This window comes from Homo sapiens, chromosome 15, assembly GCF_000001405.40.
Source record: "Homo sapiens chromosome 15, GRCh38.p14 Primary Assembly".
NCBI lineage: Eukaryota > Metazoa > Chordata > Mammalia > Primates > Hominidae > Homo > Homo sapiens.
The window spans coordinates 78,767,060-78,786,256 of record NC_000015.10 but is presented as its reverse complement, the minus strand read 5'-3'; the positions used below and the strand labels follow the sequence as shown (position 1 = coordinate 78,786,256).

Sequence of the window (19,197 nt, the reverse complement as noted above, 5' to 3'; positions counted from 1 at the left end):
CCCATCAGACCTTGCTTACTGTCCGGACCTTGCTTGTGGTGGCTTATGCCTGTAATCCCAGCACTTTGGGAGGCTGAGGCAGGTGGATCACTTGAGGTCAGGAGTTCGAGACAAGCCTGGCCAACATGGTGAAACCCCTTCCCTACTGAAAATACAAAAATTAGCCAGGTGTGGTGGCGTGTGCCTGTAATCCCAGCTACTTGGGAAGCTGAGGCAGGAGAATCACTTGAACCCAGGAGGCGGAGGTTGCAGTGAGCCAAGATCGCGCCACTGCACTCCAACCTGGGCAACAAGAGCAAAAAAACTCCGTCTCAAAAAAAAAAAATAATAGAAGATGGCAACAGCAGAGCATTGTACACCTGCCCCACTTCTCCCCACCCTCCATTGCTTTTTTCTAGGCAACCACCTTCAAACTTAACATTGTTAGCTTTTTCTTGTATTTACTTTCCTATTTCCAAAAAGTATTGCTAGACTCTCATTTATTGATTTTCCAGTTTAGATATTATCTGGAAGGTTGGGATTTAGCACCCTTGCATCACTTCCTGTACATACATTTGTCCCCTCACTTTTCATCCCAATTTAGTGTTAACATATTTGGATTAAGTCCATATTCCGCATTTTCATTATTATGGCTGTAAATCTTGATGTCTGAACTAAGTGTTGTAATAAGATGGCATTTCTTTCTTTCTTTTCTTTTTTTTTTTTTTTTTGAGAGACTCTCACTCTGCTGCTCCAGCTGGAGTACAGTGGTGCAATCTCAGCTCACTGCAGCCTCTGCCTCCTGGGTTCAAGTGAGTCTCATGCCTCAGCCTCCCAAGTAGCTGGGATTACAGGCACCTGCCACCCCTGCCCAGCTAATGTTTGTATTTTTAGTAGAGATGGGGTTTCCATGTTGGCCAGGCTGGTCTCGAACTCCTGACCTCAAGTGATTCACCACCTTGGCCTCCCAAAGTGCTGGGATTACAGATGAGAGCCACTGCGCCCCATCTAGATGGCATTTCTTTTTAAGAACAAGTTTTTTATTTGCTTGGTTTTCATTGCTTCTCCAGGCCTTCCAGATCCTTTAATAGTTTTATAAGATGTCTTTTAATCCAGTTTTCCCAAAGGTAATCCCTACCAGATAATCCAGCAGTTCCCTTCTTTCTTGGACCCTCCTCCCAACTTCCCTGTGTCCTCCAGTTTAGACTGGATGCTTTCTAGACCTGCCCCAAAATATTCATGGAGGGTCTTCCTGTTTCTTGGATCCCATGCTACTTTTTTTATGGGGAGGTACCTTTTTTTTTTTTTTAATTTGTTTTGGTGGAGCACATCCTCAAGCAGCTTTCTGAGAAAGAGTGCATGGAGGTAAATGGTTTGCCTGTCTCAAAGTGTCTTTATCCTTCCCTCACATCTGATTGATATTTTGATTTGATATCAACTTCGGGTTGGAAGTGACTCTTCTTCAGAATGTCGAAGGCATTTTTCTGTTGTCTTCTAGTTTCCAATATTGCTCTGTAGAGGTCCCATACCATTGTGATTTGAATGTGACCTTTTAAAAAATCTGGAAGCTTTTAGGACTCTCTCTCTTTCTCTCTCTCTTTTTGGTGATTTTAAATTTTACAGTATATGCCTTGGTCTATTTTAATTTGAGGGAGCACTCATTGGACTGTTTTAATCTAGAAACTTGTGCCCTTCAGTTCTTGAACTGTTGTTGTATTATTTATTTGACAACTTTCTTACATTTTCTCTTTCTGGAACCCTTAATATTCAGCTATTCTCTCACTTTCTTATTTTTAAACATTTTACAATTTTTCATCTCTTTCTATTTTATTTTCTTTTCTATCCTCCCTCCCTCCCTCCCTCCCTCCCCCCTCTTCCTCTCCCTCTCCCTCTCTCTCTCTGTCTTTCTTTCTTTCTTTGAGTCTCGCTTTGTTGCCCAGGCTGGAGTGCAGTGCCACAATCATGGCTCACTGCAGCCTTGGGCTCCCAGGCACAAATGATCCTCCTGCCTCAGCATCCCGAGTAGCTGGGACAACAAGTGTGTGCCACCACACCCAGCTAATTTTTTAATTTTTAATTTTTTCTAGAGATGGGGTTTTGCCGTGTTGCTCAGGCTGGGCTTGAACTTCTGGACTCCTCCCTCAGCTTCCCAAAGTTCTGGGATTACAGTCATGAGCCAGCGTGCCCAGCCACCTGTTTCTATTTTCTAGGGGGCATCTGATTTATCTATACTTTACAATCCTTCTATTAAAATTTTCATTTTTTTCATTCTACTTTTAATTTCTTAAACTTTCTCATTCACTAAATATACATTGAGTGTCTCATCTGAAATACTTAGGACCAGAAGTGTTTTAGATTTTGGATTTTTTTTTTAATTTTTGAGTATTTGCATTATACTTAGCAGTTCAGAATCCCCAGTCTGAAAGTCCAAAATCTGAAGTGCTCCAAAGAGCATTTCCTCTGAGCATCATGTTAGTGCTCAAAAGTTTTGGATTTTGGAGCATTTGGATTTTGAGATTGGAGATGCTCAACCTGTGCACCTTTTGATCCTATTCTTGTTTCATGGGTACAGTATGTTCTCTTATCTCTGCGAGGTTATTACTTACATGGATTTGACTTTTTTCTTCTGTTCCCTGAAATGTTTTTCTTTCCTTTGGGTTATTTTTAAAAAAATATTTGTTTCATGTTAACAGTTTCCTTGGCCAGGCGTGGTGGCTCACGCCTGTAATCCCAGCACTTTGGGAGGCTAAGGCAGGCGGATCTCTTGAGGTCAGGAGTTTGAGACCAGCCTGGCCAACATGGTGAAACCCTGTCTCTACTAAAAAAAAAAAATACAAAAAATTAGCCAGGCCTGGTGGCTGGTGCCTGTAATCACAGCTACTCAGGAGGCTGAGGCAGGAGAATCGCTTGAACCCGGGAGGCAGAGGCTGCAGTGAACTGAGATTGCGCCACTGTACTCCAGCCTGGGCAACAGAGAGAGACTCTGTCTCAAAAAAAAGTTTTCTTAAAATGCATTGGCTGTATTTCATATATAGCAAGGAGATGCAGAGATACTCATTGTGCAGTTTGTGGACTTGGGCAGGACTCTTCCAAGTCTCTGCTGAAGGACTGGTTTGGATGGGGGCTATTTTGGGGAGATCCTCTAATTTCAGTATCTGAGGTCATTTTTCTGAGTGATTCAGTTTTCCGAGAGGAATCCTCTAGGCTTTTCCTGGGAGAGTGTATGTCTGGCTGCAGCATTCCAGCTTGGCGTGTTTCTTACCCTTCAATGTGTAGATTTTGCTCGTCCCCTTTTCTCTGTAGGTCCTTCTGCCTTGGGCCTTCATGTATGTCTACCATTCCTGGGCCAGAGCCTCCTGGTTCACCCTCCCCAGGGAGTGATCCCCGGCCCTCTGCTGGGTGGCAGGTGGCCATCACTTGGCTACTCAGGGTTGGGGAGGGGCTCTAGGGTCTGATCGGTTCTTACAGACTTTCAGCCCTACTGTCTTCAGCCCTCCTGGCACTAAGGCCCTGAGGGGTCCCTGGAAACTCCATTCCTGAGCCTTTCCGGGCTTCTCCTTCTGGGTGGTTCCTCCCTGCAGGCAGTTGGCTCTCAGCTTTTATCACTCTACCAAGTCAGCTACTGCCTGGCCATCTGCTTCCCAGCTTCCAGAATCTTGTTGACATCCTTCATTACCCATCATCACCCCTTATGGATTTATGCCTTGTTTATTTCCTCTACTGTCATCATAGTGGAGTTTTGGAAGGGAGCAGCGATAAATCTGTCTGCTCAACATGCCATATTTTTCTAGAAGTCCACTCACTGTGGGGCTTAAGCAGGGATGTGACCAGGTCCATTAGGGATGTAAGAGCAAGGATGCTGGCCTCCAGTGGAAGAGGGAGTACTGGGGTGGGGGGTGGGATTGGAAGCAGAGAAGAGTTTTGTTTGGTGGTTAAGGACCTAGACTGGCCAGGCACGGTGGCTCACACCTATAAACCCAGCACTTTGGGAGACTGAGGCAGGCGGATCCCTTGAGGTCAGGAGTTCGAGACAAGCTTGGCCAACATGGTGAAACCCTGTCTCTACTAAAAATACAAAAATTAGCTGGGCGTGGTGGTGCACGCCTATAATCCCAGCTACTCGGGAGGCTAGGCAGGAGAATTGCTTGAACCTGGGAGGTGGAGGTTGCAGTGAGCCAAGATCACACCACTGCAGTTCAGCTTGGGCGACAGGGCAAGACCATCTTGGGAAAAAAAAAAGAACCTAGACTGTGGCCCAGGCTTCTACCTGTGTTGGCAGACAAGTTATATTAGCTCTTAAGCCTCAAAAAATGGACATGATGATGGGCCTGCCTTGTGCATGTGATATGAGGAATAAGTGAGAAAACGCGTGCAGTGCTTAGCACAGTGCCTGCCACACAGTAAGCATTTCACGCACACTCATTACTATTCCTTCCACTGTTACCAAGTGATAGATGGGATGGACTTGAACCAGGGAAGTGGCCTGAAGATGGGGAGGAGGGTGTGTCTCCTTCCCCAGAGAGAGGCAGAGAATGAGAGAATGGCTTCAGAAAATCAGAATAGTAGCTGCCCCCACAGCACCCCCAGGGCTTGTTCCCAGCTGCCCAGACCCAGGGTGCTGCCCAACAGCCTGGTTCTAGGACAGACAGACAGACAGACAAGTCTCTGTCCTCATTCAGCTGCTGGAATGCTTGAGGGACTTGGCTCGGGGCCTGGGGTGAGGGTGAGAGGACAGGGTGAGAGTCAGAGCCAGCCGGGGCCTCCCAGAGCCTTGGCACCGGGGAGAACCAGACAGAAGCAGAGCAATACGTGCCTCCCCAATGGAGGGGTGTTTGGGAGGAAGAAGAACCCCATCCTCCCAAGGTCCTTTCACACTTTCACCTTTGCATCCTGGGAGTCAGGCAGCAGGGCCCTCCCGAGGCCCAGGAGGTGGAAGGAAGAGGGTGTGCGGAGGTGGGGAGGGTGGCAGCAGCCTGTCTTCCAGCCTGCAGCCTTTGGTCTCCTTGCTGGGGATGGGACAGGAGAGACAGGATGGGCCCCACCCAAGCAGGTTGGGGGACAGAATGAGTGAGATTCACCGAAAGTGCCAAACAGTCAGGCAGTGTTTCTAGGACTTGGGGGCGTCGCAGAGGCACTCACAGACCACCCTCTCATCCTGGCTGGTCCTGAAGCCCTTTGGCTTCCTGCATATAGATGCTTATCCAGCCAGGTAGACCCACAGGGCTGAATCCAAACTCGTTCTTGCTGTGTCCACAGACTCCATGTCCATCAGGCCCTGTGTGTGGGGACCGTGGTAAAGGAGACAGACCTCCAGGTGCCTGTCCTCCAGGCCCTCACACCATGGGGAGATGGACAGATGACAGTTGGGGATGATTGGCACTGAGGCATGCAGTCCTCGTGGGTCTGTAGGAATGGGGAGAGGGCCACCAAGCCCTCCTGGGGTCAGGAACAGTGACTCGGAGAAGGAGCCTGCCTTCTAAAGGCCAGCTTCCACGCCGAGGAAGAAGGGTGCTGCTGTAAGTGGAGGGCAGGCTGGGCAGAGGCCGGGGCCATGCGAGTATAGGGTGGGGCAGAAGAACCCTCAGGAGGTGGTGGGGGGGCACTGGAGGGTAGCTTCTGGAGCTTGTCCAAGAGGGTTGACCTGAAGAACTCTAAGAACCTTTCCGGACTGACAGGTGCTTTAAGGGACCCTGGGGAGAGGTCACAGCATTTCACCAGTGTCAACTTGGACCTGGGTGGGGAGGAGGGGAGGCCCTGGTCCCTGCTTTCCTCAAAGCCAGCATTTCTACAGGGAGAGAGGCAGGCTGGGTCACATGTGGGGTCCTTCACTTCACCCCGTGGACCCCCCATTCAGTGACTCCATGACCAGATCCCTGGGGTGGCCAGGGGTGGCCAGGGGAGCGGGCCCCCAGGTCTCTCCTGTCAGTGGCAGGCAGCTCTTTGCAGTCTCAAGGTGAGAGTGAGGCTTCTGACTGGAGTCACCTACTGTCTCCTTTGACCTCTTGTGGGACTGCCCAGCCCCGCTATAATTAGCTTAAGGAGGGGCGTGGAGGGGAAGGGCTGACGGGTTTGGGGATCCGGGTGTGTCGGCAGCGCAGAGGACCTGGCAGTGAGCCTGCCAGAGGAAGGAAGGGCTGGCTGCCGGCCGCCTGTGTGATTTTTCCCAAGAAGACACTGCTATTTATACCCCTGTAGCTTGGGATCAGCCTCTTGTAGATGAGGACGTGAAGGCCCAAGGCCACACAGCATCTATAGCCAGGCAAAGAGTAGAACTTGGGTTTCTGACTCCCAAGACAGCACCTCGGCCTGATTCTCACAGTGGATTCTGTGAGGGTCGCCTCATGCTCCCGACTTCTCCCACACACCCAGGGTGGGCTGAGAGGTTGTTGTGGCTTCAGCTGCCCAACAGCAGGCCCGCAGGAGCCACATGTGCAGCGAGTCAGCACTGGGGCAGCCAGGAAGCAGAAGGGCTGGGCTGCAGCCCAGGGACTGTTGGTGCTGGGATGAGGTGCATTGGACCCCTCAGCCCCAGGGTCAGAGGACCCCCTGGCTGGGATGGGTGAGCCCCCAGTCTACCTCCTCGAGCCACAGAATGCTAGCGGGAAGGAGGGAGCCCAGGGCCAGCTGACCCCACCACCCGCCGCTGATACTCTGCCCCGGGTGCAGGCCCAGGGAGGCTCAGGGAGCCCCAAGCCGCAGGAGCACTTGGGACACTCCTTTCTCCCCACCAGGTCTCGCTGCCATGGTTTTGAACTTGTATGTGGGGTGAAGTATTTGAGGCCAGGCTCGCAGTTGAATGGGAGGAGCCCTGCACTGGGGGTAGCCCAGTGAGTAGACACAGCCTGGTGCAGGCAGCCTGGGCCTGGCTCCAGATCCTGGCCATCACATCTCTCTTGTGCGACCCGGGGCCAGTGACCTATGGGCCCTGAGTGCATGAGGGGAGATGATGGTAGAGTCTGCCCAGGATGTTGTGAGGAGCAAATGAGAGGGTATGCCCCCAGCACCCTGGACCAGCCTGGCATGTGATCATCTTGGGCACTAGGACTGCATCCAGCAGCTGCTCATCTGCCAACGCCCATGTTAGAGGATCTGTTTCCAGCCAGCATGGGCAGTCTGAGTGATTCCAGGAGGATTCCAGGGTTCTCAGTAGAAGTCTGGTCACCTTGGCTTTCTTCTCCGCAGCTCTGGGCAGGGCCGGGGGCCTGTCACTGGTCGGGGGATTTAGGAGACCACGCAAACACCCACTCCACTCTGGATCTCCAAGCTGCCAGGCCCCCTCCTCTGAAATCAGGGCTTCGGGAGTCCATGGTCTGATCCACCCTCCCAGCCTCTCTCCACACCTGCCTTCAGTGGTCTTGGCCCTGTTTCCTGACCCTTTCGTGTTCTCCCAGCCTCTCCACATCTCGGAGTGTCTCTTTCTCTCCCTGCTGGACTCCAGGATCTATCACCTTTGCCCTTCTTCCCTGTGCAACCCCCTGCCTGTCCCAATCAGGACTGTATGCTCATCCTGACCCTCTGTCCTGGCGCCACCTGCCCTGAGGCCACCCAGACTGGAGAACTGGAGGGTTTGTGCCTCCCCATCTCCTCTGCCTGGCTAGAGGCCCCAGGTCCCGCGGGTCCTGCCTCCCTCCATTGTTTCTGCCCAAGTCGTGGCTGCCTGGGTCGTCCCCAGCCCTGCAAGTCTGTGTGGCTCAATTCTCCCCAGCCACTGCTGCCCCCAGAAGGCAGCAAACCTTCCTCCAGTTCCTCCAGGACAGCAATGAGCCATGGGCAGGGTGGTCAGCATGCCAGGGCACTCCTGCTGCTAAGCCATAGTGGTGGCCACCTAAGGTCCAGCAGGGGCAGCAGGCTGGTCACTGGTCCCAGAAGCAATAGCATGCCTGAGGGTTGTACAGAGTGAGGCAGGGGCAGAAGCGGGTGCCAGAAGGGACTGGGCCGCCCTCCCCAGGGTCCCTGCTTCCATGCTTCCTGCCTCATGGTGTTGTGTCTGAGCAGCCTTGTCTTCACCACACCACAGCAGCAGGAGTGTGTGGTGGACACAGATGGCGCCTGCTTGTGTCTGCCAGTTTCCCCGCTACCGCTGCCAGGGAATGCCAGCTGGAGGAAGGCAGGAGTAGATAGGGTATGACAGAGGCCGGAGGCCAGCCCTGTCGGGGTGTGGGGGAAACGGGACAGGCATGGTTGCCCTGGGCTCTCTCCCAGGGGAGGGGCTGCTTTCCAGACCTCGCCTTTCCACAGATGACCCAAGGTCTCTGCCTGGGTGGGGCCGTCGGAGGCTCTGTTGTGTCAACTGTGATGTGATGTTCTCCGGATCCTTGTCGGGCCTGGCTCCAGGGTCTGGGCTCAGACACGGAGGCTGCAGGGTCGGAGAGCAGGGCCACATGACGGCTTGGTGGTCCAGGAGGCCTTCTGAGGGAAGGGCCCTGGCAGCGTGTGCGGAGGCCTGGGATTGGGGTTGGGATTGTTTAGCCAGCTGGAGTGCCCAGGAGGTGAGATGAGAGAGGCCGGGAGGGCCTGTGCTGCTGGCTGCAGGTGGAGGATCGGCTGAGCCGAGCGGGGAGGCTGGAGTTTCCTACAGTTGTAGGGCTCTGTGCCCCCTCCCACCTCTCCTCCTGTCCCGGCCCCACCAAGGCTTCTCCGATGGGTCTCACAGGCTGCGCCCCCCTCCATCCTCCCGTCCCATCTTTAGCCGTGGGTGGGGCCTGTGCCTGGACGACCCTCCTGCCAAGGACATTATCGACTTCCCCTCGGTGCCACCTGGCGTCCTCTATGATGTAAGCCACCAGTGCCGCCTCCAGTACGGGGCCTACTCTGCCTTCTGCGAGGACATGGATGTGAGTGGGGCCGGTGTGGGTGTGGGGGTGTGGGGACCCGGCAGGAGGGCTCAGGGGGCAGCTCTCACCAGCCCGTGGATGCCAGCCTGGGAGCAACCTCTCCTGGCCTGGGCTGCGCCCCTGAGTGACACTGTGAGACGTCAAGTGGCCTGTGGGAGAGGCCAGGGATGGGCGGCCACAGACCCAGCTCTGAATTCTGGGTCAACCATGGACCAACTGTGACCCTTCGGACAAGTCCCTTCGCCTCTCTGGAGCTGGCTTATAAGAGGGAAAAGGAACCCCTGTGGAGAGGGTCTGTTTATCCTGGCGAAGATCGCCTGAAGTGATCTTCTAACAGGAGTGTTTCCAGAGGAGGGGCTGGGCCGGGAGAGGTGTGGACAGCTGGGGACCGCTCTGAGCAGCGCAGCCCCGGGCGCCCCACACCACCACATGGTCCGGGGAGGAAGGTGGGAGCAGGCACACAAGAAGGAACCTCTGGGGGTCTGTGGGCCCCTGCCATGTGGAGGGGTGCCCAGGGGACCCTTGGGGACAGGGAGGGGGGCAGGGTGGGTGGCGGCACTGGGGAGGGTGTGAGGGTATGGCCCATGCCCTCCTCCTCGCAGAATGTCTGCCACACACTCTGGTGCTCTGTGGGGACCACCTGTCACTCCAAGCTGGATGCAGCTGTGGACGGCACCCGGTGTGGGGAGAATAAGGTAGGGGATGTCCCCAGTCCCGGCAGTGGGTGTGTGAGAGGCCAGACTTCCTGCTGTGACCAGGCCCTGGGGTCAGCCCCGGCTCACAGTCTTGCTTGTGCTCCTAGCAGAGCCCCACGCTCTCTGCAGCCCAAGCCCCCATCTGCAAAGTGGAGGCATTGGGGCCAGGGCTTGATTCCATGATTCCCCAGGGTGTCTTCAGCTGAGTCAGCATGTGGGCTGTTTTACTCCCCGCTCAGCTCCTCCATGTGGCCTGGGTCACAGATGATTGTGATGATTGTGAGGGTGCCTCTCTCACCTTCCATCCTTCCCCTCTGTGCCTTTCGCAGCCTTCCCACCCACCTTGTTCTCACTAGGGTGAGGATGACTGATAGACTTGGGGGTGGGGTGGCTCTACCTCCGTCTGTCTCAGTAGTGGTGTCTCAGTGGGGAGTGCGTACCCGTGGGCTTCCGGCCCGAGGCCGTGGATGGTGGCTGGTCTGGCTGGAGCGCCTGGTCCATCTGCTCACGGAGCTGTGGCATGGGCGTACAGAGCGCCGAGCGGCAGTGCACGCAGCCTACGTGAGTGTGGGGCCCAGGGTGCCCTTGGGCAGTGGGACAGAGGGACCCAAACAGTCAGCCGATTGCAGGAGCTTGGCTCTGTCCCAGCCCCTGGCTCTTAGAAGTGTCCTGATAATGGTCAGTCCGAGTGTCCAGGCCACCTTAAGTCACTTTCAAGGAGTGTTCTGGGGGCTGACAGGGTCCCCACTTCTGACCCCTTTCCAGAGAGGGGGACACTGAGGCCCAGAGACTAGAGAGACTCATCAGAGGCCACATGGCAAAGCAGCTGCTGGCTGGAAGGAGGCAGGAGAGGGCAGTGGGGAAGAGCATGGGCCCTGGACCTTAGATGGCTCAGGGTTCGAATCTCCTCTTCACCCCTTCTCTGGGCCTCCATTTCCCCATCTGTATAATAGCAGTGCCCATCCAGTAAAGTTGTAGTCAGGGGCAAATGCAGTTTATGCAGGCCAGGCCCTCAGCCCTGCAGCTCATCTGTAGTGGGCACTCAGCGGGAGGGGCTTGGTGGCCTCAGAGGCTCAACAAAGGTCTGAGATGAGACGGAGCAGCTGGGAGGATGGGACAGCACTGAAGGGGTGGCCTGACGTGAGCGACTTCACCTCTCTGGGCCTCTGTTTCCCCATCTAAACGGGGGGGTGGGGGTGCAGGGGGTGTGAAGATCTGGTGAGAAGCAGAGGCAAGTGGTACTGTAGACCGAGGCACTACCCGGCTGATCTTCACTTCAGGAGGCCACCCGGGGCAGGCATGGGGTTCACAGCCAGCCCCACCCAGGGCCCTGCGCTTACCCAAGAGTGGCCTGTGCCCCTCCCTGCCTCCTGGCCTCCAGGTCTGAGCTGGGTGGGGGCCAGCGACCCTGGCCTAGATGCGGAGGATTTCAGGAGCTGTGCTAGGTCAGACCTTTCAGCTGGCTGGGGCCCTAGGCACTTCCTTTAGACCCGGGCTGGGGGTACTGCCACCAGGAGGAAGGCTGAGGACTCAAGGGCTCGTTAGGATGCTGGTGTCATGGGCTGGAGACTCGGAGCAGTCCCTCCAGCCAGTGCTAGTCATGCCTGCAGCTTGTCCCAGCTTCTCAACAGCCCTCTGCAGAAGCAGCCCCAACCCCACTTTATACATGAGGAAACTGAGGCCCAGAGGGTGGCCGAAGACTTGCCCACGGTCACACTGTAGGTTGGGGGCAGAGCTCAGGCTTCCTGCTGCCACCTCCCCACAGGTCCTTACAAACAGGGAGAGTGTGTCTGGGCCAGAGGGTGGGCAGCCCAAGGGAGGGGAGCAGCGTGCACAAAGCTGGGCAGCAGGGATCTCGGGGTGTGGATGCAGGAGGAAGTTGCTTGCTCTGGGCTGTGGCCATGCAGTAGCACTCACTGGGCCGTCACTGGGGCCCACCCCGGTTCTCCCCACAGGCCCAAATACAAAGGCAGATACTGTGTGGGTGAGCGCAAGCGCTTCCGCCTCTGCAACCTGCAGGCCTGCCCTGCTGGCCGCCCCTCCTTCCGCCACGTCCAGTGCAGCCACTTTGACGCTATGCTCTACAAGGGCCAGCTGCACACATGGGTGCCCGTGGTCAATGACGGTGAGTGCTGCCCCCCATGGAGACATTGAGGCTTAGAGGGCTGGGGGTGTGTGGGTCCAAGGTTACCCTGTGATGCGAGCAGGAGGCCCAGTCTTCACCCCAAGCCTGGGCCACTCCCACTGTCCCCTGGGGCTGCTGCTCGCCCCTAGCTCCCCAGTCTGCAGCCTTGCAGATAGCTATCAGCCCAGCCGGAGCCTCCAGCATGTTGGTGCTGCTTGGGAGCCTCCAGCCTGCCATGGATGTGTGTCACGGAGGGGTCTTCCTGGTGGCCTCCATACTCCCGCCCCAGCTGTTGCTGATGACTCTTCTACTTGGGCCCTCAGTGAACCCCTGCGAGCTGCACTGCCGGCCCGCGAATGAGTACTTTGCCGAGAAGCTGCGGGACGCCGTGGTCGATGGCACCCCCTGCTACCAGGTCCGAGCCAGCCGGGACCTCTGCATCAACGGCATCTGTAAGGTGTGCCTGGTTAGGAAGAGGCTCTCCCAGCACTGCCTGCCCCCAGCCCCACTGGCAGGCCCCAGGTTCTCTCCTGGGTCCCTCCTGATCCTCCTCGGGCCATGGCGGGCCCCAGGTTCTCTCCTGGGTCCCTCCTGGTCCTCCTCGGGCCACCCTCCCCATGCTCTACCATCGGGCTTCCCAGCCCGTACCCTCTATGACCTCTAAGGCAAAGCCCCTACCACGCCTCCTGGCACTGGGGACCCTTCCAGTCAGGCCTCGCCCCCCTGCGTCTCCCTGGATGCCTGCACCAGCACCGCCCCAGCCAGGAAACCGGAGCTCAGGCAGTGGCTTGACCTCTTGCTGGCTGGCTGACCACAGGCAGTGGTTTGCTCCCTGATAGAAGGGGTTAAATGAGGTGGCATAGGTGACACAGAGGGCTCTGAGCCGCAAAGAGTAGCCCTCAGTGTGTGGTAACAATTTCTATTCTTATTTTTAATAACAATGACGGCCTCTCCTCTTTGCCCATGTCCCCAGCGACCTACTTGTCCCTGCTTCTTGCCCTCTAAGCCTCTGGGGTATCAAGGCCTGGGCTCCGAGGAGGACCAGGAGGGAGGTGCCAACCCCCAGTGCCTTTGACGTTGAAATTCCCTGCACGCGCTGCTCAGGAGCCCGTGGCGTGTCAGATCCCCTGCCTGCCCGCAGGCTTTGCAGAACTCTTCCCTTCTCTTGTCTCATGTGATGCTCATGACATGCCTTTAAGGGAGGGGTGGGTCTCCCCGTCTCACATCTGAGGAAACTGAGGCTTAGGGAAGTAGAGAGGTTCACCTGGGTCAGAGGCACAGCTGAGGTGGGGCAGGGCCAGAGAGAGGCCTCCCGACCCCAACTCCCAGCTTTCTTCTCCTGACTCTGGCTGGCCCCGGGGCTGGGGCCACAGAGGGCTGGCCGCCAGCACCAGGGCCCTCCCTTCCTTGTGTGTTGCAGAACGTGGGCTGTGACTTCGAGATTGACTCCGGTGCTATGGAGGACCGCTGTGGTGTGTGCCACGGCAACGGCTCCACCTGCCACACCGTGAGCGGGACCTTCGAGGAGGCCGAGGGCCTGGGTATGGGGTGGGACCGCTGTGGGGAGGGGTATGCTCTTCACCTGATGGCCCCTTCCCCATCTCCCCTGGGCCCCTGTCCTTGGCCTCGTGGCCCCCACCCAGCCTGGAGATGGCTAAGCAGGGAAGCCTTGCTGGGGTGGATTCTTGCAGGAGTCAGGGGACCCCTGGCCCATGTGCAGAGACCTGTCCCCATGGGGAGTCCTCCTGTCCCAGACACCCCAGATAGGGCCAACCCGGCTTGTGTGTGGCCCCTTGGCCTTCCAAAGAATGGTAGTCTCCTCCTGAAGCTTCTGAGACCCCAGCTCCGTGTCCTCACCTCCGGTCTGTTTTGCACACGTTGCTCAAGTACTGACTGTGTGCTAGGTGATGGGGACATGCAGGTGAAGCGCTTAGTCCTGGAGGGGGACAGAACCTTTTGGTGTGACCAGTGCAGTGGAGGGAGGCCCGGAGGGCTGTGGGAGCACTGAGGAAGAAGGTCCTGGCCTGGGGAAGTCAGGGAAGGTTTCCTGTAGGAGGCGGAAGTCGAGCTGAATCATAAAACTCAGAAGAGATGGAAAGGGCATTCCAAATGGAGGAAAGAAGAGCTTGTGCCAGAGCCTGGAGGCAAGAAGGGAAGGCAGGGCCAGCTATGGGGCCTTGAGTGCCAGGCTGAGAAGCTTAGATTTTCTCCCAGAGATGCAGTGCAGTGTGGTGGATAAAGCACTGGCCATGGAGGCTGCTCATACCGCAGCAGGATGTTCATGTACGTTACTATCCCTGTCTGCCTCACTTTGCTCATCTGTAAAATGGGGATAACAATAGTACCTATGCTATAGGGCCATTACCCATGAGCTTACACATGTGAGGTGCTGAGAGTAGTGCCTGGCACGTGATGGGTGTGATGGAAGTGAATGAATAAAAGCAGGCCGCATGGGGATGAGGAGGGTGTCCCAGGAGAAAGGCCTGGGCACTTTGGTTTTTTTAGAAAGAAGATGCCAGCCAGCCCTTAGAGTAGGGAATGGATCCAGCCTTATGATGAGACCAGTGTAGGTCCCCAAGAGAGGAGTGATGGGGCATGGCCACGGGGTCAGGATTTGTGGCACCTCTGCGAGGTTTTGGTGACCCATGACAGATCCGAGCAATTTAGGGAGCTCAGACTTTAAAGCTTTGGCATCAGCAGGCGGAGGCAAGTGGGGAGAGACATGAGGGGAGCGGGTGGGGATAAGCAACCCTCTCACCCTGGGCACAACCTATGCACAACCCTTGGCTGACAGGGTATGTGGATGTGGGGCTGATCCCAGCGGGCGCACGCGAGATCCGCATCCAAGAGGTTGCCGAGGCTGCCAACTTCCTGGCACTGCGGAGCGAGGACCCGGAGAAGTACTTCCTCAATGGTGGCTGGACCATCCAGTGGAACGGGGACTACCAGGTGGCAGGGACCACCTTCACATACGCACGCAGGGGCAACTGGGAGAACCTCACGTCCCCGGGTCCCACCAAGGAGCCTGTCTGGATCCAGGTGCCTGCCTCCCGTGGCCCAGGCGGGGGGAGCAGAGGCGGAGTCCCCAGGCCCAGCACCCTCCATGGCAGGTCTCGTCCTGGAGGAGTGAGCCCTGGTTCAGTCACAGAGCCTGGCTCTGAGCCAGGCCCTCCTGCTGCGGCCTCTACCTCAGTTTCCCCATCTTTAAAATGGCCCAATCTTGTAGCTGCAGTTCACAGAGGTGGCTGGGGTCAGCTCCTTTAGGACTGGGTGGATGGAGAAGACACCTTGTGCTCATGGGCCCCCGCCTGCCCACCCAGCTGCTGTTCCAGGAGAGCAACCCTGGGGTGCACTACGAGTACACCATCCACAGGGAGGCAGGTGGCCACGACGAGGTCCCGCCGCCCGTGTTCTCCTGGCATTATGGGCCCTGGACCAAGTGCACAGTCACCTGCGGCAGAGGTGAGAAGTGGGGCAGGCACAGCCCCACCTGCAGGGGCTTAGTGTCTGGACAGGGACACTGGCTTCAGCTCCCAGCTCACTGCTGGGCCACCACGGGTTTGGAAGTTTGCTTCTCTGAGCCTCAGTTCTCCATCTGTGAGATGAGGCTAGCGATTGCCCTGTGTCCCAGGCCCGCTGGGAGGGTACATGGATGAGGCAGGTGGGTGCTGGCTCGCGGCGCATGTTCAGTGTGCTCCAGCTCTTGGCGTTCTCCCTCCAGGGGACACAGCTCCCCCTCGATAGACCAGTCCAGTGGCCCCTCACCACACTGACTTATTTCCCTAAACTATTTATAAAAAGTAGGGCAATTTCATTAACTCTGACTCTTCCTCCCCAAATTTCCCTCTCTCCCCATGCTCCTCAGTCCCCTCTCTCTCTGTCTCCTCCCCACTGCTCCTCAGTCTCCCCTCTGGCCCTCTGTCTCCTCCCATACTCCTCAGTCTCCCCGCATGCCTCTCAGTCTCCCCCATACCCCTCGGTCTCCCCCCATACCCCTCGGTCTCCCCACCATATCCCTCGGTCTCCCTCCAGCCCTCCAGTACCCCCGCCACACCCCTCAGTCCTCCTCTCACAGCTCGGTCTCCCCCACCATTCCTTGGTCTCCCCCCAGCCCCCTAGTCCCCCCCACCAACGCCCCTCGGTCTTCCTCCCCCTGCTTGGTCTCCCCTGCCATTCCTTGATCTCCCCACACCTCAGTTTCCCCCTTTGTCTCTTAGTTCTCCCCTTTTCCCCTCAGTCTTCCCATTGTTGACACTCAGTATCCTCAGGGTCTCAGAATTGGGAATCTGAGATACAGACATTTGAGCATTCCTTCAAATGCTATTATGATGACAAAGTGAAACTGGAGAACTGGGCAGATACCTTCCAAAGCTAGGAAACCCATTTTATCTAATACAGCTGTCTTTATTTTATTTTGCTATTTTATTTTATTTTATTTATTTTATTTTATTTTATTTGTTAGAGATGGAGTCTCACTCTGTTGCCCAGGCTGGAGTGCAATGGCACAATCTCGGCTCACTGCAGCCTCCGCCTCCCAGGCTCCAGCGATTCTCCTTCCTCAGCCTCCCGAGTAGCTGGGATTTACAGGCACGTGCCACCATGCCCGGCTAATTTTTTTATTATTAGTAGAGATGGGGTTTCACCATGTTGGCCAGGCTGGTCTTGAACTCCTGACCTCAGGTGATTTGCCCGCCTTGGCTTCCCATAGTGCTGGGATTACAGGTGTGAGCCACTGCCCCTGGCCTAATACAGGTGTCTTTAATTGGACAAACTTGAAAACCAACAAATACACTTGCAGCACTAGACATTTGGGGAACTGTCTTTCAGCAAATTGGCTGCTTCGCAGGTGGACCACTTGGGAGCATCTGCAGAGGCAAGTGCCCTGTGGTGGCTGGAACAGACAGGGGTTCTTTGTCTCAGGCAGGAAGTCCCAGATGCACAGTCTAAGCTGGCGGGACCTGGAGCTGACTGGCCCTCAGCCACACCGTCCTTGTCACAGCAGCCTCCCCTCCACTCCTGCTTGCCACAGATGGTGTCCTCCCTTCCAGGGCTCTTGCAGTGTTCTGGGCAGGAAGAAGGAGAGGGAAAAGGGCTGACTCCCAGCGAGGGACTTGTGCCTTTTTCTCCCGAGCCAGTACTGTGTCCCAGACCCCCCTAGTTGCAAGGGAGCGGCAGTGGGGTGTGTTTTCAGCAGGTCCCATTGCTGTCTTGAACAAAATCAGAATCTGTTGGTGAGGAAAGAGGGGGACGGATGTGGGACTGGCAGCTCAGGGGAGGGACAACTTACTCTCGGGACCACGGGGCAGGGGGTGGAGCAGAGAAGGCAGAGCCACCAGCAGAGGGGGTCCTGCAGCTGGGCCTCAACAGGCAGTATGGAAGTGAGTGTCCAAGGTGAGGAGCGTGGCTGTGCAAAGGCCCCAGGGTTGGCAGTGACAGAGGGTGTGAAGGACAGGAGCAGTGCCAAGCCTGGTGTGGGGATGGAGAGCAGGGGCTGCCCCTTGATGCCCCATTTCTTGTCCGGAGGTTCTCTGAGCCATTGGGAAGGGTGTGGATGGTGGGATGATGTGTCGGTGGCCCCCGGACACACTGGGCCCTGAAGGCTCAGGCAGCGGCTCCTCCAGCCACGAGCTCTTCAATGAGGTTGACTTCATCCTGCGCCACCTGGCCTCATGCCCTTCACCCGCCTCATCACCCAAGCCAGCCCCGGGAAGGAGCAGAGGGAATCGGGCTTTCATTCTGTTCCCAAGGCTGAAGCCCCAGCCCCGGTCACCCCTCACCCCAGCCTGGGCCAGCCTGGACACTTGTGGTCCTCCTCTTTGGGTCCCTGGATGTGGAAATAGGCCTCAGGTCACTCTCAGTTTCCCTGAGGGGAGGGTGGCAGGAGCCATGGCTGGGTTTGCATGCTAACAGCAGCTGGCATGGATCGAGCTCTTAGGATGTGCCGGGCACGGGCTGAGCCTGCACATGCAAGAACACACGCAGTCCTCCCTCCAGGACATGGAGGAGGCAGGATTGTTGCTCCCACTTTACAGAGGAGGACACTGAGGTTCAGAGAGGCCAAATGAGCTGCCCAGGCATCTCAGCTGGGATGCAGAGGGTCTGGGCACCCAACCCACTAAACATCCACACTCTGCCACCCCTCCAGTCAGAGGGGAGGCTACATAGGAGAGGGGGCGGGTGAGAACCAGGAGGACAGTGAGGAGGCGACGGTGGAGGTCTGCCTTCATCCTGACATGGGCAGTAAGGCATCCTGACACGGGCAGTAAGGCGCTGTTCTGGGAGGGTTCTGGCAGAGAGGGTGTCTTTGGGTCTTGGGTGGTGGGCACCTGGGTGCCAGTCCCAGGCTGAGCCCCGTGGCCCCTAGGTGTGCAGAGGCAGAATGTGTACTGCTTGGAGCGGCAGGCAGGGCCCGTGGACGAGGAGCACTGTGACCCCCTGGGCCGGCCTGATGACCAACAGAGGAAGTGCAGCGAGCAGCCCTGCCCTGCCAGGTGAGCCCGCCCCCATCCCCCGCCAACTCCCCACCCCATCCCCCGCCAACTCCCCACCCCCATCCCCCGCCAACTCCCCACCCCATCCCCCGCCAACTCCCCACCCCCAGGCATCCTGGGTCTGCCACAGGTCCCTACATCTGGGTCCCTGGAGGCCCTGGGGAGGAGCAGAGGGAGCCGGGCTTTTATTCTCTTCCCAAGGCTGAAGCCCCAACCCCCGGTTACCCCTCACCCCAGCCTAGGCCAGCCTGGACACCTGTGGTCCTCCTCTTTGGGTCCCTGGATGTGGAAACAGGCCTTAGGTCATGCTCAGTTTTCCTGAGGGGAGGCTGGCAGGAGCGGAGGGGCTGTGCCATGTCACCAGGCTTTGAGGGCAGGACACTTACCTGAGCTTGGAGCTCTGGAGAATCAACCACTGGCCTCAGTCCCAGCTCTACCCAAATGCCGAGGGCCTGGAAGCCCAGCCTGGCCCCCCCTGCTGGTGAGCCTGCAGGCCACCTGTCTGATGCCACACTGATGCCACCTGTGTGCCCTCGCCAGGTGGTGGGCAGGTGAGTGGCAGCTGTGCTCCAGCTCCTGCGGGCCTGGGGGCCTCTCCCGCCGGGCCGTGCTCTGCATCCGCAGCGTGGGGCTGGATGAGCAGAGCGCCCTGGAGCCACCCGCCTGTGAACACCTTCCCCGGCCCCCTACTGAAACCCCTTGCAACCGCCATGTACCCTGTCCGGCCACCTGGGCTGTGGGGAACTGGTCTCAGGTGAGTGTGGGATGGGAAGGGGCCCGCCTCCAGCTCCACCCTTGGTCTTCAGCTACAGGGAGGCAGACAGCCTTCCTGGAGACCTTGTGGGTGGGAGGGAACCTGGGCATTCCAGGGTCCAGCCCCTGACTCTAAAGCCTCAGGGATCAGGAAGCCCCTGGCAAGCATGGCCACAGTCATGGCCTTGAGCTGGGAAGGGCCAGAGAGGGCTGGCTGGGGTCTCTGCCACTCTGACATCGGGCAGTGGACAGGTTACCCAGCCTTGCCCCAGCGTCCCCTGGCAGCCTGCCTCCCAGGGTAAGCCCCTCACCCTGGCTTC

At 57.2% G+C, this 19,197-nt stretch overlaps 1 protein-coding gene across 4 annotated transcripts in view, besides 5 other annotated features; it reads left to right on the top strand.

Moving 5' to 3' along the window:
- Positions 1–19,197, top strand: part of ADAMTS7 (ADAM metallopeptidase with thrombospondin type 1 motif 7) — a 52,259-nt gene that overhangs the window by 25,208 nt on the left and 7,854 nt on the right. For 3 of the 4 annotated variants that reach the window (NM_014272.5, XM_047432122.1, XM_047432123.1), the window contains 10 exons: positions 8,669–8,813; positions 9,416–9,508; positions 9,924–10,069; positions 11,464–11,633; positions 11,957–12,090; positions 13,054–13,174; positions 14,428–14,672; positions 14,954–15,095; positions 17,998–18,124; positions 18,665–18,878. In NM_014272.5, the coding sequence (NP_055087.2) occupies positions 8,669–8,813; positions 9,416–9,508; positions 9,924–10,069; positions 11,464–11,633; positions 11,957–12,090; positions 13,054–13,174; positions 14,428–14,672; positions 14,954–15,095; positions 17,998–18,124; positions 18,665–18,878 (1,537 nt within the window). Of the gene's footprint in view, positions 1–8,668; positions 8,814–9,415; positions 9,509–9,692; positions 10,070–11,463; positions 11,634–11,956; positions 12,091–13,053; positions 13,175–14,427; positions 14,673–14,953; positions 15,096–17,997; positions 18,125–18,664; positions 18,879–19,197 lie in introns of those variants that run through there. The other variant, XM_011521166.3, reaches the window with a different exon arrangement.
- Positions 1,142–1,311: an enhancer, noted in NCBI's record as "experimental_40965 CRE fragment used in MPRA reporter constructs". NCBI's record gives its function as "activates a minimal promoter by MPRAs in K562 erythroleukemia cells, with activity observed for both the introgressed and non-introgressed 15:79077373 or rs4887110 variant alleles {active_cell/tissue: K562}" and the evidence as "EXISTENCE:reporter gene assay evidence [ECO:0000049][PMID:34662402]".
- Position 1,226: a transcriptional cis regulatory region, noted in NCBI's record as "Neanderthal adaptively introgressed variant 15:79077373 (GRCh37/hg19 assembly coordinates) or rs4887110 in the experimental_40965 CRE". NCBI's record gives its function as "modulates activity of the experimental_40965 enhancer by MPRAs in K562 erythroleukemia cells {active_cell/tissue: K562}" and the evidence as "EXISTENCE:reporter gene assay evidence [ECO:0000049][PMID:34662402]".
- Positions 11,893–12,394: an enhancer, noted in NCBI's record as "H3K4me1 hESC enhancer chr15:79066205-79066706 (GRCh37/hg19 assembly coordinates)". NCBI's record gives its function as "activates a minimal SCP1, AML or CMV promoter by ChIP-STARR-seq in primed H9 embryonic stem cells {active_cell/tissue: H9 hESC(primed)}" and the evidence as "EXISTENCE:reporter gene assay evidence [ECO:0000049][PMID:30033119]".
- Positions 16,873–17,448: an enhancer, noted in NCBI's record as "H3K4me1 hESC enhancer chr15:79061151-79061726 (GRCh37/hg19 assembly coordinates)". NCBI's record gives its function as "activates a minimal SCP1, AML or CMV promoter by ChIP-STARR-seq in naive H9 embryonic stem cells {active_cell/tissue: H9 hESC(naive)}" and the evidence as "EXISTENCE:reporter gene assay evidence [ECO:0000049][PMID:30033119]".
- Positions 18,603–19,180: an enhancer, noted in NCBI's record as "H3K4me1 hESC enhancer chr15:79059419-79059996 (GRCh37/hg19 assembly coordinates)". NCBI's record gives its function as "activates a minimal SCP1, AML or CMV promoter by ChIP-STARR-seq in naive H9 embryonic stem cells {active_cell/tissue: H9 hESC(naive)}" and the evidence as "EXISTENCE:reporter gene assay evidence [ECO:0000049][PMID:30033119]".